This window comes from Homo sapiens, chromosome 4 (assembly GCF_000001405.40).
Source record: "Homo sapiens chromosome 4, GRCh38.p14 Primary Assembly".
NCBI lineage: Eukaryota > Metazoa > Chordata > Mammalia > Primates > Hominidae > Homo > Homo sapiens.
This window is the reverse complement of record NC_000004.12, coordinates 19,215,646-19,233,762: the sequence shown is the minus strand read 5'-3', so window position 1 is coordinate 19,233,762 and position 18,117 is coordinate 19,215,646. Positions and strand designations below refer to the sequence as shown.

The window sequence follows — 18,117 nt, the reverse complement described above, 5'->3', positions numbered from 1 at the left end:
GCATACATATACTAGGAAATCAGAAATTTTTACAATGAGTTTACTTGAAAGTCTGACAAGCAGCTAAATATTGCAGTCATCCAAGTATATCCATATTTTATGCCACTGAAATGATGACTGTGACATTCTAGATGACTGTCTTAAGAACCTTTTGCTTTTCAGACTGAGTACAGAATTAGAAGGAATATTCTGCTTGGCTCCTTGGAATGAGTGGGTAGGGTGACAGATATGTATCTAGGGATAAAACTCCTTTAGAATTTTGAATATAAAACATTTGTTTGCAGGAATAGAAGAAAAGTGAAAGTATGACACACCCCTGGCTCTTCCTTCCTTCTTTTCCTCCCTCCCTTCCTTCCTTGCTTCCTTCCTTCCTTCTTCCCTCTTTCTTTTTCTTTTTCTTTTTCTTTCTTTCTTCCTTCCTTTCCTTCTTTCTTTCTTTATTTTTCTTTCTTTTGTTCCCTTCATTTTATTTTTTTTTGACATGGCATCACTCCGTTGCCCAGGCTGTAGTGCAGTGGTACAAGTATGGATCACTGCAGCCTTTACCTCCTGGGCTCAAGTGATCCTCCTTCCTAATTTTCCTGAGTAGCTGGGACCGCAGGCGTGTACCACCATACTCAGCTAATGTATTTTCAATTTTCTGTAGATACGAGGTCTTGCCATGTTACCCAGGCTGGTCTTAAATTCCTGGGCTCAAGAAATCCCTTCACCTCAGCCTCCCAAAGTACTGGGACTACAAGTGTGAGCCACCATGCCTGGACACTTACCTATTTCTCATCTATTGTGTATTTATCAGAATTTGACAGTAAGGCAGTAACAGCTAGCTAGCTAATGGAGAGTAGAGACAAGTGGCCCCAGCTCTGTGCGTAGTGGTTCCAGAATTGTGTAGCCAGAAAAAATACAGTGTCCTGATAAATTTGAAGTTCAGATAAACAATAAATACATTTTTAGTTTACCTATGTCCCATGCAATATTTGGGAGATATATATATATATATATAGATAGATAGATAGATAGATAGATAGACAGACAGATAGATAGAGATAGAGATATACTAAAGTTGTATTTTTGTGTATTTGAAATTTAAATTTAACTAGATATTCTCTACTTGTATTTGCTAAATCTTGCATCTTTTTACTAGGATTGATCTTAATGGACTGAAAAATGATATGTTAACCCAAACAAGTATGAATGCTGTGTTCATTAAAATAATATTTCTTGAATGACTTAAGCTTCAACAAGTACAGATCAACTCCTTGAGATCTTCATTTGGTGACGCATAAATGATTCCTCTGGCTATCATAAAGTAGATGTACTTAAATGGACAAATAAATCCATGTGCAATATCAATTCCCTTTTTCTCTCTTTCTTTCTCTCCAGCAATGAATTTGAAAGGAAAAGAGAAATGGAGGAAGAACATGAAGAACAAAATTATATGTATAGTTGAAAAACTCACTTGGCAACATGGATAAGAATTGAGATGGTTTAATTTCCCTTAATGACTAAACTTTGATAGAAATCTCATGATGATAGTGAAAGTAGAAGTAGTAATAAAAATCCCCTCCCTCTACATTATCCCTGCAATATTATTTTTAAAATGTTTTTGCTTCTTGACAGAAAAAAAGAAGCACTCAGACCAATTTGCCATTCAACATTATGGATCATACACTGGCAAAAATATGTCCTTTTGCCCAGTAGACAGCAACCATTTAAATCAAATTAATTTAATTATTAAACATACAAAAATGTGGATTGTTGTAAAGGAAAATGGCAAGTGATGGTCAGCAAGCAGCATCAACAAAATGACATTTATATCAAAATACACTTCAGGGAAATTCAGGCTCTGGAAACATTGTTTTAATAATTTACAACATATTGAAAGAAGCTACACTATTTCTTATTAAGGTAGAGATTGATCTACTTGGTTTAAGTCAGAGCTGAGAGCCTTAGTGTTTTGAATAGTGTTGTCGCCTGCTTTTATAGATTTACTTACCCTCTCTATATGCACGAGACATAGATCTAATTGTCCAACCCTTGAGAGAACAAAATCAGTTTACTTCCAACTGATGATATAGATCTTTTCTTTTTTTACTTGAGGAAATATACTTCAGTCTTAAAGGATCTTTGCGGCATTTTAATTCCAATAGAAACAATTCTCTTATAGAGTTTTGCTTCTTGCCACACATATTCCAGAGCCAGGTAAAAGATTCTACCTAATTCCAAGGTGATACAGCACCGTGATTGTGGAAAATGTTAATTACTTCATGTATTAGTCAGGATTCTCCAGAGAAACAAAATTAATATGTATTCATTTTGAGAATTGGCTCATGTGATCACGGAGATTGAAAAGTTTCTTGGTCTCTCATCTACAGCTGGAGAAACAGGAAACCCTGAGGTCTAATTCAGTCTGAGTCCAAAAGTCTGACCCAGGGGAGCTGACGGTGAAACTCCTAGTCTGAATCCAAAGGCCTGCAAATCTGGATCAATGGTGTAAGGCTTGGAGTATAAAGGCCTGAAAACCAGAATGTTGATGTTTCAGGGCAGTAAAAGATGGATGTCCCAGTTAAGAAGTGGTAGAAAGAGAGGGAGTTCACCCTTCCTCAGTCTTGTTGATCTTTGTGGGCCCTCAGTGGATTGGATGATGCTCACCCACATTGTGGAGGGTGATATTCTCCCCTCAGCTGACTCAAATGCTGATCTGTTTGGGAAATACCCTCACACACCCAGAAATCATCTTTTACCAGCCCTATGGGCATCTTAGGGGCCAGTCAACTTGACACATAAAATTTACCACTGCATTTAAGCCTTTGTATATCATTTGTAGAAGGAAATAGAAATTCCAATCATATAGGTTTAAAAAAGGGAAAAAAGCACCCCTCACAATCACCCACTAATTAAACTGAAAGTAAAAGGCCTCTTCCCTTTTTCTTTCAGCAGTTTCAACACATTTTCACTAAAAAGCTTCCATGAAAACACAGAAAAAAAATATATATTTGGCATATGTGTTGATATATACGTCAACATAGAAAATATATGTGTGTGTGTGTATACACACACACACACACACACACACACACAGCCATGCACCACATTATGATGTTTCAATGAGAAATTGCATACACAATGGTAGTCCCACAAGGTTATAACACCATACTTCTACTGTACCTTTTCTATGTTTACATGTTTAAATACAAAAATACTTCCCATCGTGTTACAATTGTCTAGAATATTCAGTACAGTAACATACTGCACAGGTTTGTAGTTTAGGAGCAACAGGCAAGACCATGAATCCTAGGTGTGTCGTAGGCTATAATGCCTAGTTTTTCTCATTTCACTCTGTGATGTTCACACAATGATAAAATCACCTAACAACACATTTCTCAGAATGTATCTCCCTCATTAAGCAACACGTGGGTGTATATTCTCTATATATTTTACATATAAATACATATATGTCTCTCTCAAGGATGGGGATAGAAATTTCATTTCACTACTTTGTTGATGAAAAGAGTCAAACTCTGTAAAATATATAAAGAGGTTTATTCTGAGCCAAATATGAGTGACATTGGCCTGAGGCACAGTCTCAAGAGGTCCTGAGAACATGTGCTCTAGGTGATTGGGTTACAGCCTGGCTTTATATGTTTTAGGGAGATAAAAGACATCAATTAATACATGTAAGTTGTACATTGTTTCTGTCTGGAAAGGTGGGACAACTTGAAGTAGTGGCAGGGAGAGAAGGCACTTGAAAGTCACAGGTGGATTCAAAGATTTTTTTTCTGGTTGGTAATTGTTTGAAAGAGTTAAGTTATTATCTAAAGATAGAAATCAATAGAAAGGTGTCTGGGTTAAGAGATAAGGGTTGGTGGAGACCAAGGTTCTTATTATGTAGATGGAGTTTCATAGGTGCCCACCCTTAGAAGCAATAGATGGCAAATGTTTCCTATTCACACCTTTAAAAGGTGCTAGACTCTCAGCTAATCTTTTCAGAATCAAAAAAGATCTGGAAGGCTGGGCATGGTCTCTCATGCCTGTAATCCCAGCACTTCGGGAGGCTGAGGCGCATGGATCACCTGAGGTCAAGAGTTTGAGGCCAGCCCGATTAACATGATGAAAGCCCGTCTCTACTAAAAAATACAAAAATTCGCTGGGCATGGTGGCGCATGCCTGTAATCTCAGTTACTTGGGAGGCTGAGGCAGGAGAATCGCTTAAACCTGGGAGGCGGAGGTTGCAGTGAGCCCAAGATTACGCCATTGCACTCCAGCCTGGGCGACAAGAGTGAAACTCTGTCTCAAAAAAAAAAAAAAAAAAAAAAAAGACCTGGAAAGGGAAAATGATTCTCTACAAAATGTAAATTTCCCTCACTAGAGAAAGCTTTGCAGGGCCATTTTAAAATATGTCAAATAAATATATTTTGTGGTAGAATATTTTGATTTCTTCCAGGGCCTGCTACCTGTCATGTGATGCTATACTAGAGTCAGGTTGGAATTTGGTATTTTATTGCTACAGAGTCTGTTTTGCCAGTATTGATGATACTGATGTTTTAGGAGAGGTCCCTAAATACTGATGGGACCTCAATACCAGCTGGTGTCCAGGTTCTTGGCACCGTTGCAAGAAGGAATTCAAGGATGAGTTGGAAAATAGTTAAAGTACAAAGATTTATTGCAAAGAGAAAACTACGCACTCAAGAAAGGAGAGTGCAGATATACTCAAGGGGGTTTTGCAATGGAGTTTGAGGTCTCTACCTTTATGAATTACTTTAACCAAGGGGTGGGATATTCATAAGTATTCCTAGAAAGAAGTAACGATTTCTCAGAACTGTGATGCCACCCATTTTAACACCAAATATGGGTATTCCAGGAACAGTCATGGAGCTGGTGGTCGTATTATTTAGTATGTAAATGAGCATATGATGAAGTCATGGGTGAAACCTAGGTCAAATCCAGTGCCATGTTGCGTCCAGTCCGTCTTGGCCAGCTTGACCCACATTCTGGTTTTTCAGGCTCTTATCAGCCCCGAGTTTATGCAGCTATTTCAACCGTTTCCTCTTGCTAGTCATGTGAAACTGCTGCGTGAAATATTCTATTCTCCTGTGACCACCCTGTATTATTTCTTTCTTATTAAGATCTCTGTTTTAATATTAATCCTGGTTAGTTGTGCCTGAATTCTAAAGAAAGGAGAGTATAGTGAGGCATGTCTAATTCCCCTCTTCCCATTACGGCCGGTACTACTTATTCAGGTTTCGTCGACGTCCCCGTGGCTGAGAAGAAAAGTCCATTTAGTAAGCTGGGGAGCTTAGAATTTTGTTTTTGCTTTATAACATGTATCCACATGAGTGTGCCCACTTCTCTTTTATATATAAATGCACAGTACCCAATATTGGAAAGCTAGAAAAGTCTGCCACTAGGTCACGTCTGGACAGTATTATCTTTCAAAGCACTAGCTTGCTGCTACAGAAATGGAAAATACTGCTCAAAGATTGCAGAAATATATATTATATGCACATAAAATGAACTTTTCTAAAGCAATAGGCATGCCATAAGAAATGGATTTTGGACAGTGCATTAAACTATGAAATCATTTTTGACAGAAATATAAATCAATTTAAGAAAGCCGAAGTTCATGAATCAAATAAGGAGAGGGCTTTTGAGAAAGCATCAAGACTAGATAAGTACTAAAAGTACCGAGGTTAACTGTGTAAACATTATGAAAACAACATTTAACCAAGGGAATAGAAGGGAAGTAGCAAAAATACTTCAAAGCATGCCTTATTTTCATGAAAAAACAATGCTATGATTAGCATCAGTTTTCTACCCTCGAGGTACTTTTTTTTTCATTTTTCTTTTGCGGAATTCTTTGTACATTATTCATATTCCTAACAAAAAGAGTTAAGCTGGCTTCAAACTGGTTGGTAGTTATATGGCAACCACGTTGTTTTGATGCTGCTTTTATGTTCATTTCAATAAAATTGCCTAAAAGGAACATGAACAGCCAATGCACAAAAGAAATACAAATAAAAAATACAGGCATAAACAATTGTTTAAGCTTACTAGTAATCAACAAAGTGGGGATTAAAACAATAATGGGATACTATTTTTATACACCAATTAATTAAGATTTTAAAAATAAAAATGCTAAAATTTGCTGAGAATGACAAGCAGTTTAATAAGATATCGGTGTAAATAAGAATAGGTACATATTTTCTGAAAATCTATTTGGCATGTATATAAGAATTTTAAAATGTTTGTACTCTTCAATCCAGAATTTTCAGCTCTAAGAAACAGTCTGAAAGAAATAATAAGAAATAGTAAAAACAGTTGAAAATTATATATACATTTGTTCACTTCAATTATTTATTACAATGAATAACAGAAAATAACTTGAGTGTACACCCATATGGGAAAGTTTAAATACATTTTGTTAAATGAATACAATGTCACATTATGTAGTTTTTCAAAGAGTATTTACAGGCCAAGGGACATGCATATAAAATAATGTTAAATTAAAAAAAGATAACAGTACCTAAAGTTTTATATTCCAAGTTATTCCAATGTTCAGACATATGGGTGTGCATCTGATGTGTGTGTGTTTGTGTTTATGGAGCTGTGCATCTGTGTTTTCTACATTCACAGTTAACACATCAAGAAAACACTAAAAAAGAATATACCACATATGAACAAAGCTTATTTATGGGGTGGTAATAGTACGTGTATTTTAATAACATTTTTGTCTTCCATATTCTTCACATTGTCTACATCAACTTATGATAAAATAAATTTTTTGGGGAGGCCGAGGCAGGTGGATCATGAGGTCAGGAGATCGAGACCATCCTGGCTAACACGATGAAACCCTGTCTCTACTATAAATACAAAAAATTAGCTGGGCATGGTGGCGGGCACCTGTAGTCCCAGCTACTGGGGAGGTTGAGACAGGAGAATGGCATGAACCCGGGAAGTGGAGCGTGCGGTGAGCGGAGATCGCACCACTGCACTCCAGCCTGGGCGACAGAGCGAGACTTCATCTCAAAAAATATATATATATTACATATATGTAATATATAATATATATATAAATTATATATATATGTAATATATAATATATATAATATATATATAATATATATAATATATATATAATATATAATATATATATAATATATATAATATATATAATATATTATATATATTACATATATGTAATATATATTATATATAATATATATTATATATATTACATATATGTAATGTATACAATATACATTATATATAATATATAATGTATACATTATACATTATATATAATGTGTATACATTATATATTATATATAATGTATATATTATATATAAATATAATATTTTATATATAATGTATATATTATATATAAATATAATATTTTATATATAATATACATTATATATAATATATAATATACGTTATATATAATATATTATATACATTATATATAATATATTATATACATTATATATAATATATTATATACATTATATATAATATATACTATATATAATACATACTATATACATTATATATAATACATACTATATACATTATATATAATGTCTATATTATAGACATTATATATTTTTAAGTGGTCCAACAGATTGATATTGTAATTTAACGTAACAAACGTCTACGCCGTGTGACTTGTATCTATATTAAAAAGAGTAATTTGATTATTTCCTTTTATTTGAATCTCATCAATTGTTTACTTTTAAGGACAAAATATATAATTTTTTTCTGTAATATTTTAGAGATTAATTTACATGAATATCTGAGTTTATCCAAAACAGCAATTAAGATAACTACAAATAAAATTAATTTTAATTGAATTTTCTGATATAACAAAATCAAAAGAGTCAAATATTTTCTGTGGATCATGAGTCCAAAAGTTTACTTTTTTGTTTGTTTGTTTGTTTGTAAGGAATTTGGTACCTCTCTGCAGTTCAACCCATTTCAAAGTCACATTTAACTTTAGCTTGATGCTATACCTATGTTTCAAAATTGTGCATTTTACAGGAATCTGTAAATCTGAGGTCTGTGAAAATCTGTGGAATGGTTAAAATCTCAGTCTAGACTCAAAATAATGTGGACTTCATATTTGAAACTCAACTCTCATTTAAAATGGTATAAGCTTTCACAAGTTCGTAAACCTAAAATTCCAAATCCTCATCTACAAAACAGGACCAAAAATATACCTACCTTATTAGACTGTAGAAAGATATAGTGAGGTGATATATGTAAAGTTTGTATCCCTGTACTTGGGACTTTCCTAAGCACTCAATTAATTCTACCCATTATTGTATGTTTAAAAAACAAAAAATTCTGGAATCATTGGTGCCTAAATGCCTGGCATTACACTCAGAACAAGTTTCTTTCAAAAATGTTTCCTCTTAGCAAACACCTACCTAAACATTGGTCCTTTTATACTACATGTGGACCTTTAATCACTCTCCTAGGATTAGCGGAACAACTCAAACATAGATCTGAACATTCAGGAGTCAAGTGTTCAATGAGTTCTACCTGTAAAACAAGAAAAATACATTTTAGTACCTTCCCACCTATTTAATATTTTCTCCAGACTTCTAAAATCTTATTTCAAATAGTGAACAAAACAAACAAATAAATGAGAAAAACAAGTCATTGTTGTGAGAGACATCTGATTTTTTTTTTAATGTGGCGCAGTAACTTACTCTGATTTAATTTTTCTTAAATGCCGCCATCTAGTGTTCACTAATTTAACTTTTATTACTTACCTTAAAAAGATATTGTTAATGTGGAAGTAATGTTCCCCACTTTCCCAGAGGCAAATAGCATCAAGTCAATTTGTTTCAAGTTTCTAAGTCATTCTAAAAAGACTTGCTATATCTGAAATAGCACAATAATGTTGAAATAAGAACAATCACAGTAGTAAGCTGTAGGACTATAAACATGTTTTACCTTGTGAAATACAGACATACTGTATTTCATTATAGTTCTAGCTCTCCCCTCTCTCTCTCTCTCCTCCCTATCTCCTTCTGCAAGAATTCTTTAGAAGTGCTTCTCTTATAAACTCAATGGCAAAAAAAAAAAAAAAACAGTTATAAATGGGCAAAGGACTTGGATAAGCATTTCTCCAAAAAGACATAAAAACAGCAAACAGGTATATCAAAAGTTGTGCAATATCGCTAATCATCAAGGAATGCAAATAAAAACAACAATAAAATATCACCAAACTCTTAAGATGGCTATTATAAAAACAAACAAAAAAGATAATAGTTGTTGGTGGCTGTGTGGATAAAAAGGAAACTTTGTACACTGTGTTGGGAATGTAAAACAGTGCAGTCTCTATGGAAAGCAGTATGAAGGTTCCTCAGAAAATTAAAAATAGAACTACCATATGACCCAGGAATCCCAATCCCACTTCTGGATATATGTTTAAAAGAACCGAAATTAGGATCTCAAAGAAATATCTGCACTTCCATGTCCATTGTAGCACTGAAGAAAATAGCCAAGATAAAGGAACTGAAATGTTCACTGACAATTGAGTAAAGAAACTATGGTATAAACACATAATAAAATATTATTCAGCCTTAAAAAAGACAGAAATCCTACCATTCGCAACAAAATGGACAGACCTGAAAGACATTCTGCTAAGTGAAATAAGTTAGTCTCAGAAGGACAAATACTGTATCTAAAATAGTCACACTGGCCAGGCACGGTGGCTCACGCCTGTAATCCTAGCAGTTTGGGAGGCTGAGGCAGGTGGATCATTTGATGTCAGGAGTTCGAAACCAGCCTAGCCAACATGGCGAAACCCTGTCTCTACTAAAAATACAAAACAATTAGCCAGACGTGGTGGTGGATACCCATAATCCCAGCTACTTGGGAGGCTGAGGCAGGAGAATCGCTTGAATCCGGGAGGCGGAGGTTGCAGTGAGCTGAGATTAAGCCACTGCACTCCAACCTGGGCAACAGAGCATGACTCTGTCTCCAAATAATAATAATAATAATTAATAATAAGAGTAATAATAATAATGAAATAGTCACACTTACAGAGGTAGACAATAGAATGATGGCTACCAGGGAGTGAACGGAGGGGAATATGAGGAGCTGTTATTCAATGGGTATAAAGTTAAAGTTATGTAAGTTCTAGAGATCTGCTGAACAACATAGTTCCTATAGTAAACAATAAAGTATCACTCACTTAAAAATGGTTAAGAGGGTAAATCTCAAGTTAAGTGTTCAATACAAACAAACCAATGAAAAGCAAAGCAACACAAGAAAACTTTTAGAGGTGATGGGTACGTTTGTCACCTTGATTGTGGTGAAGGTAACAGGAATATAAACATATGTCCAAGCTTACCAAATGGTATGCTAATTATATATTAATTATATGCAGTTTTGGCATACCAATTCTATTCCGGTAAAGCTGGGAGGGAAGAAAGTTATCAGTTATGGTTGGACAACTCTGAATTGTGCAAAACTCATTTAATTTTACAATTTCAAATGGTGAACTTTACGGATTGAGAATTACACTAATAAATAAAGTTATCCAAGTGAAAAAAGAGAAAAATAACTATTTTGCTCTCCATTGTATCCCGGGCTTCTAGCATAGTGCTTAATAAAATACCTAATGTTTATATGCCAGTGTGTTCTAAGAAATTCTTTCTTTCTTTTTTTTTGTCTTTTTGAGACGGAGTCTTGCTCTGTCGACCAGGCTGGAGTGCAATGGCGCAATCACGGCTCACTGCAACCTCCGCCTCCCTGGTTCAAGTGATTCTCCTGCCTCAGTCTCCTGAGTGGCTGGAATTACAGGCGCATCACCACGCCTGGCTAATTTTTGTATTTTTAGTAGAGACAGGGTTTCACCATGTTGGTCAGGCTGGTCTCGAACTCCTGACCTCGTGATCCGCCTGCCTCTGCCTCCCAAAGTGCTGGGATTACAGGCGTGAGCCACCACGCCCGGCCTAAGCAATTCTTATATGTTATCTCACTGCTATAAGTTTAATTGCTGAAAACTCCAAGGAACGTTCTATGACTGTTTCCTTACAGATAAGAAAACTGCACTCTAGGAAAATTTAATAAGCTTCTCATGAATATACACTTGTTAAATGGTCAGGTCAAGATTTGGAGTCAGTGGTCTGACTCAAGAGTTCTCACTGTCAACCATTACCGGTGCTGACAGTTATCAAAATTTCAAAAGTAAAGCATCAAATTCGCAAAAAAACCTTTGGATCCCAGAGTACCTACAACTCTGCACACATTGACTGAAAAAATGAGAATTGAGAAGTAAACATGTTTGGAATCATTTTTCCTCTTTAGAAGACAGAGTCATTTCTAAAGAATTTAAAACATGTTATGATACTGAACTGAAGGTAATTGAAACATTTCATTACTGATCTGCAAAATAAAAAACATACAATATATTGCTCTGTCTCCAAAAAATTAATGCTCATTAATAAATTAGCTGTTCAATTTAGCCTTTTTAAAATGAATTATTGTCTCTCCAACAAAAACTGAATGCAAAAATATGACAATTTAACTGCAGAGATGCTTTATTTAAATTGGTGATTCAGTGGTGTGATTTTAATTACACTATGCATTTGTTCTATTACATTCTTATGGTGTGTTGTAAATATATATTTATATATAATATTATATATATGTATCTTTTTCCTTTTTACTTAAACTGCCTGTTGTAGGTTTGTGTGTGTGTGTGTGTGTGTTTGTTTTTTTGGGTTTTTTTTGAGATGGACTTTCACTCTTGTTGACCAGGCTGGAGTGCAATGGGGCGCAATCTTGGCTCACTGCAACCTCCGCCTACCGGGTTCAAGTGATTCTCCTGCCTCAGCCTCCTGCGTAGCTGGGATTACAGGCAGGTGCCACCACGCCCGGCTAATTTTGTATTTTTAGTAGAGATGCTGTTTCTCCATGTGGTTGAGGCTGTTCTTGAACTCCGGACCACAGGTAATCTGCCCGTCTCGGCCTCCCAAAGTGGTGGGATTACAGGTGTGAGCCACCGCGCCCGGCCAAACTGCCTTCTAAGCTTAGGAAATTATTTCAAGTTGGAAACCTTTCATGAGGTTCATTGATAGGCCACACATTCATCAGTTTCATACCATGAACACCTACTCTAATGACAGAGGGAAAATTGTACATATTTTGTCCTGGAAATCAAGGAAATATGCATTGTTAGGTTACCAAACTCATTTCCAAAACAGGAGAAGCCACAGAGAATGGTGCAATGATACCAATCCCTTCTCACCAGGACATTGTAAACAGGGTATACAATTTCCTACAGAATCAGGAGTATCTACAATATCATTACCTGACATAAATTTAAGTAACTGCCCTGATTCATGATAGATTAGGGTTAGGTCTATATTTTTTTAAAAAAGGGAAACATTTTCCTTTAATATTTATTTGTGAACATGCTTATGAGAGTTATAATAAAAATGAGTTTAAATACCAGGGCTGAAAATTATATTAATAATTAGGAGTATTTGAAAGCATTCTAAGAATAATGTTGCATTATTTTGTGTTTAACTCAGAGAAATACCGAATGCTACAGTGTCCTAAAAAAAGCCATGCAAACCTTTATTTGTCAAATAAGAAAATGATAGCTGTAAAATATTAGGAGATTTGTTGAAGTCCAAGTGCTATTTATAAATCCAAGACAAGAACCTAGAAAATCCTTCTCAATACAATGAACTTTTTGCTACATGGAAAAGTAGTATCCTTTCTAAACTATACTCAGAATAAATTATTGCTAAAAACAAATATTGAAGGGACAGGAGTGATGGATTTAAAGTTCATAGACTCTACCATCATAATGCAACACAGTTAAGTAGCCATAACTTATTTAATGATCATTCTTGGGATTATTTATTCAACATGTATTGAGTAAGACCTCACGATCTTACACAAATAGGCTAAAATCTAAACAGCAGCCTCCTCTTCTACTTTCTGTAGCTAAACGCACCGGATGTTAAAGCAGCGTATGTGTGACAAGGCAGTAGGGTGACTATAGTCAATGAGAACTTAATTGTGTATTTTAAAATAACTTAAAAGAGTGTGATTGGATTGTTTGCAACTCAGTCATGGAGAATGGGGTATCCATTCCCTCCATCAATGCTTGAGAGGATGGATACCTCATTCTCTTTGATGTGCTTATTTTACATTGCATGCCTGTATCAAAACATCTCATGTGCTCGGTAAATATATACACCTACTATGTACCAACAAAAATTTTAAAACATAATTTAAAACTTAAAAAAAAGATGTCAGTGCTCTTTTTGTTTTTGTTCCTGCACTTATCTCTAGATCCATTAAGGCAATTTATTAGTCTGTTGTTGTTTATCTGTATATTTTCCTTAGTAAATTGTAACTCGCTTTGACCATAATATATCCTTGAAAAATGTTTATTAAAAACTAAGGACCTAATTCTTTGAGAAATAGTTTGTTTCTTCCTCACTGCCATCCTCTCCTTCTTCCTTCCATTCCATTAGGAAGACATCCCACTGCCTCTAAATTCTCCTATATATTTTTCAGAAAAGGAAATAAATATAAATAAAATAATAGAAAAACAATTGGTCATTTTTTTCAGTATAGAAATAAAACATATTTAGACATGGCATGTATTTAAGCCATTTACTTGGATGCTACTGTCTTGAAAATGTGCTTAAAAAGAGCCTATTTTTGCTTCACTCTTACGGAGTTTAGGAACTAAATTACCCAAATATATTATCTATATTCCCCTAAATTGTTCATGCAATAAACATTTTACAATTTTTTTACCAGGTCTATAAATCTATGTACTGTGTATAATTTGTAGTGGAACAGATTTGGGAGACCTTATTTTGTAGTGTTACCAAGCAATATTAAAAATATAAATGAAAATTCAAAATTAAACATTTTCTCTAAGGCAACTTCCAAGACAAAAGCAAAGATTTTGAATATTATAGTGTTCAGGCAACTTACTATTTAAAACCTGCCAAGAAAACAAGCATTTTTTAAACGTCTATGGTTTCAATCTTTCATTTTATAATCTGAGGGAAACAATTTTAATAAGAATTGCTGAGTACATTTTAACATTCTCTTTAGGCATAAAGAAATGAAGAGATACCTGAAACAACACTTTAATATCTTATGTTTTTCCAAATATAATCAGAAAGCAAAATATTTTTAAAGTCTAAGTTGTATTTGACATGGGTGAGATTTACAGTCATATGAAGAGAATAATTATAGAGGAATCACTACATAAAAATAATGCAGCTGGAGAGAGAAACAAATATAATGGAAGTAAGACATTCTATGGAATTTCGAGCATGACATCATTTGGGTTGAGTTTTTATCAAGCAAAATATTTTCAAGTTTATATTACTGCAGAATAAATACCCATACTTCATATTTTATGATTTATGTAGGTTTAAAAAAACTTATATGCACATAAAATCATATATATACACACATAAATACATACAGATATGCATAAAATATGTGTCTATTCATAATATTTTATTATTCTGATGTTCCATTTTATTATATACCAAGCCCTATTACATTTCCTACAATGACATCACCATCCCCATTCCTGTAACATTCAGATGACTCTGAATAGAAATACTGAGAATCTAGAGGGAGCGAGTAAGTGCTATCTGGATTTGGAGAACAAAGGGTAATACTGTGAGAAGCGGTATATACACCCTCCTAATCATGTTGCATTCCTACTTTATTTGTGTATTCAGTAAATTGATTAGTGACCAGTACTTTTCCATACAGTACAAGTTGTAGAGTATGAATTCATGATAAAAATGTTTTGGCTTTTACTCTGAGTGAGATGACATGCCTTTGGAGGATTTTAAACAAAAGACTGACATGATTCGATTTCTGTTTTGAAAGGGTCACTGGCCGCTGTGTGGAAAAGAGAATGTGGGCTCACCAGAGTGAATGCAAGGACACTGGTAGGGAGACTACTGAAATCATACAGGCAAATGTGATAGTGCCTTGAAATAAGATGGTAGTAACTATAGCTGATGGTTCTATTTCTAAAAAGGAATACTTTTAACTAACCTATGAATTACTAACTTAGTTAAAACCATACAAACTATTCAATCAGCCCTGAAGTCAAAACATGACAAAGTAATCTTAATAAAAGAAAACTAGTGAGCAAACTCATTTATTATTTTAAATACAAATACAAGTTAATTGAGTCCTTCACTTCCTTGAAATAATAAGAAAACAATAAAAATGTAGAAAATTATCCTGATGTACAAAGTGCTCAATTTTAAGGAATTAATCCCTGTAATTCATGACTTCAGTTACAAGAAAAAAAAATACATCTAGTTGAATGCATAAAATATTTGATGAAGCATATCATCCATTCCTCAATAATATAAAATTTAGTAAAATAAGAAAAAAATATATTTCCTCATTCAAAAGAAGATAATCAATTTAAAATCTTGAAAACTAAGGTAATTATGTCATGCTATAAAGATACTCATATTATTGTCATACTCAAGGATAAAAGGATACTCATTGTCATTACTAGTATTTGACTGTTTTGTGACTTGTAGTCAATACCTCAAAATTAGAATGTAAGTAGAGGAATATGCTTGCAATATATTACAAGCTTCTTAAGAAATAGAAATTACGGCAAATAAATATTTGATAGAAAATATTTGCAAATTTGCAAATTAATTACACAATATATTAGCCCATTCTGATGCGGCTATGAAGAAATACCTGAGACAGGGTAATTTATAGAGAAAAGAGGTTTAACTGACTGAGTTCCACATGGCTGGGGAGGCCTCAGGAAACTTACAATCATGATGGAAGGCACCTCTTCACAGAGGGACAGAAGAGAGAATGACAGTGGAGCACAGTGAGAAGCCCCTTATAAAACCATGAGATTTCACTCACTATCAATAGAACAGCATGGGGGAAATCACCCCCATGATTCAGTTTTCTCCACCTGGCCCCACCTTTGACACCTGGGGATTATTACAATTCAAGGTGAGATTTGGATGGGAACACAGAGCCAAATCAAATTACAAAGTTATAATAATACATAAATTAGAAAATGAATAATTGTTTAATAATATGACAATTACTAAACTTCTCTATCATTAGACAAATGCAAATTTAGAAATTATATGCCATATTTCACTACTGATATTGACAGTTTTATAGACTGGTAATAATATACAGCAGTTTAAGGTAATTCATGTTGTCAGACATTGTTGATGGCAGTAAAAGTTATTTAACATTTCCAGTTGTCAATTTGAAAGCATATGAAAGGCTTCAACTCTTGCATTCCTTTTACCTATTAATTTCATTTCTACATAACTCTCATTTAAAAAATTAGTTATAGGTGCAATCAAAGATATAGACATAAGAATCTTCTTCACATTATTTATTACAACAAAGCAAATCTCTTTAAAGACAAAAGAAAATATAGATATTTTAAAAAGGAAAATAACTAATACATTATGACAAACCAAGATGATGGAATATCAGTCATTTAAAAATTAAACAAGAGAAAATTTTAATAAACTGGACATTTTCATGATATACTGAGTTTAATTAAACTGATTTCAAAACAATGTGTACAGTACAAAATAAATTTTAAAAACCTATCTTTTTATACTAGCAGTTGAAAAACTTGTAAGCAGATATTCTGAAATATTACCATTGGTTATCTCTAGGTGGTAAGACCCTAGTATGTTTTCACTTTTCTTTGCTCTTTAGAGTTTTTAAAACTTTTGACAAAATACACGTGTTATTTAATAACTGTATGAAAACAAGACATATGATTTATTTTAAAATCATCCAATTGAAGTTGTTTTTGATGCCAAACGAGAAAGGAGGTGAAACAGTATTGATTAGGGACCTAATATTTCTTTAGAAAGGCTTATGGCATATTCATTCTTTCAGTAAGCACAGATTGACTCTCTGTGTCATTTTTTTTCCCCATAAGCTAGACACAAGGCATTTAAAGATGAGTTAGTCACAATCACTTTCACATAAATCTCATAGACAAATGAAGAAGTGTGACAGATGCAATGTCAGTATAATTGCAACGAATTGGGTTTTAATGTGGTATTAAAGGACCTAAAGAAGGAGTGAGGCTGCCTGAGGGAATAGGAGTGTATTACACCATTTTTATATTGCTATTAAGAAATACCTAGGACTGAATAATTTATAAAGAAAAAGAGGTTTAATGGGCTCACAGTTCCACATGGCTGGGGAGGCCTCAGATCACGGCGGAAGGCAAAAGAGGAGCACAGACACGTCTTACATGGTGGCAGGCAAGAGAGCATGTACAAGGGTACTGACCTTTATAAAACCATCAGATCTTTTGAGAACTCACTCACTATCACAGGAACAGCATGGAGGTAACCGCCCCCGTGATTCAATTACCTCCCACTGGGTCCCTCCCATGACACATGGGGATTATAGGAACTACAATTCAAGATGAGATTTAGGTGGAAACACAGTCAAACCATATCAAGGAGGTTTTTTTCTTTAAAAAAAAAAAAAACAGGTTTCTTAAAACAATGACCTTCAAATTAATAATTTTTTTATAAGCAAAAACTTTTCACATAGAAATCAAAGACCAAGTCATTCCAGGATGAGTGCATAGCATGAGAAAAAATATAGGGAAAACATAATTTGAAGCATATTGTTGTTAATTATTACTACCCTATCATATTTGTTTATAAAAGTTCTTAGGACAACCAAAATTCTGAATATGAAAATGTTTGAAAGAAGTTCTTCATAGTTGCTATAGAACTTTTATATGGTGACTTACAAATAAGACCCTTAATGATCTGGTCCCTTCCTAACACTCTTTCATGACTTCAACCTGCCCACTATTAACATCGACTATAGTATATTACTCCATGTCTCCCAAATATGGCATTTTAGTTCATTCTCAATACTTTATATATCCTATTCTCTTCAAAAAATAGTCCCAGAAACCATAGACTTTATAACATACCTACATTTTATACTCTCTTGGCATCACAGGCATAACACATTAAAAATATTTTGTCCTATATAATCTTTGAATCTTATTCAATTAGTCTAACATCCAGCATCCAACACAGAACCTGGTG

General features: G+C 33.9%; 1 long non-coding RNA gene across 1 annotated transcript in view; it reads left to right on the top strand.

Annotated features, from left to right (window-relative positions):
* LINC02438 (long intergenic non-protein coding RNA 2438) overlaps positions 1-15,171 on the top strand; it is a 238,399-nt gene extending 223,228 nt beyond the window's left edge. Inside the window, exon 3 of the long non-coding RNA XR_001741605.2 lies at positions 14,900-15,171. This is a non-coding gene — a long non-coding RNA (long intergenic non-protein coding RNA 2438). The remainder of the gene's footprint in view (positions 1-14,899) is intronic.
* The last annotated feature ends 2,946 nt before the right edge of the window (positions 15,172-18,117 follow it).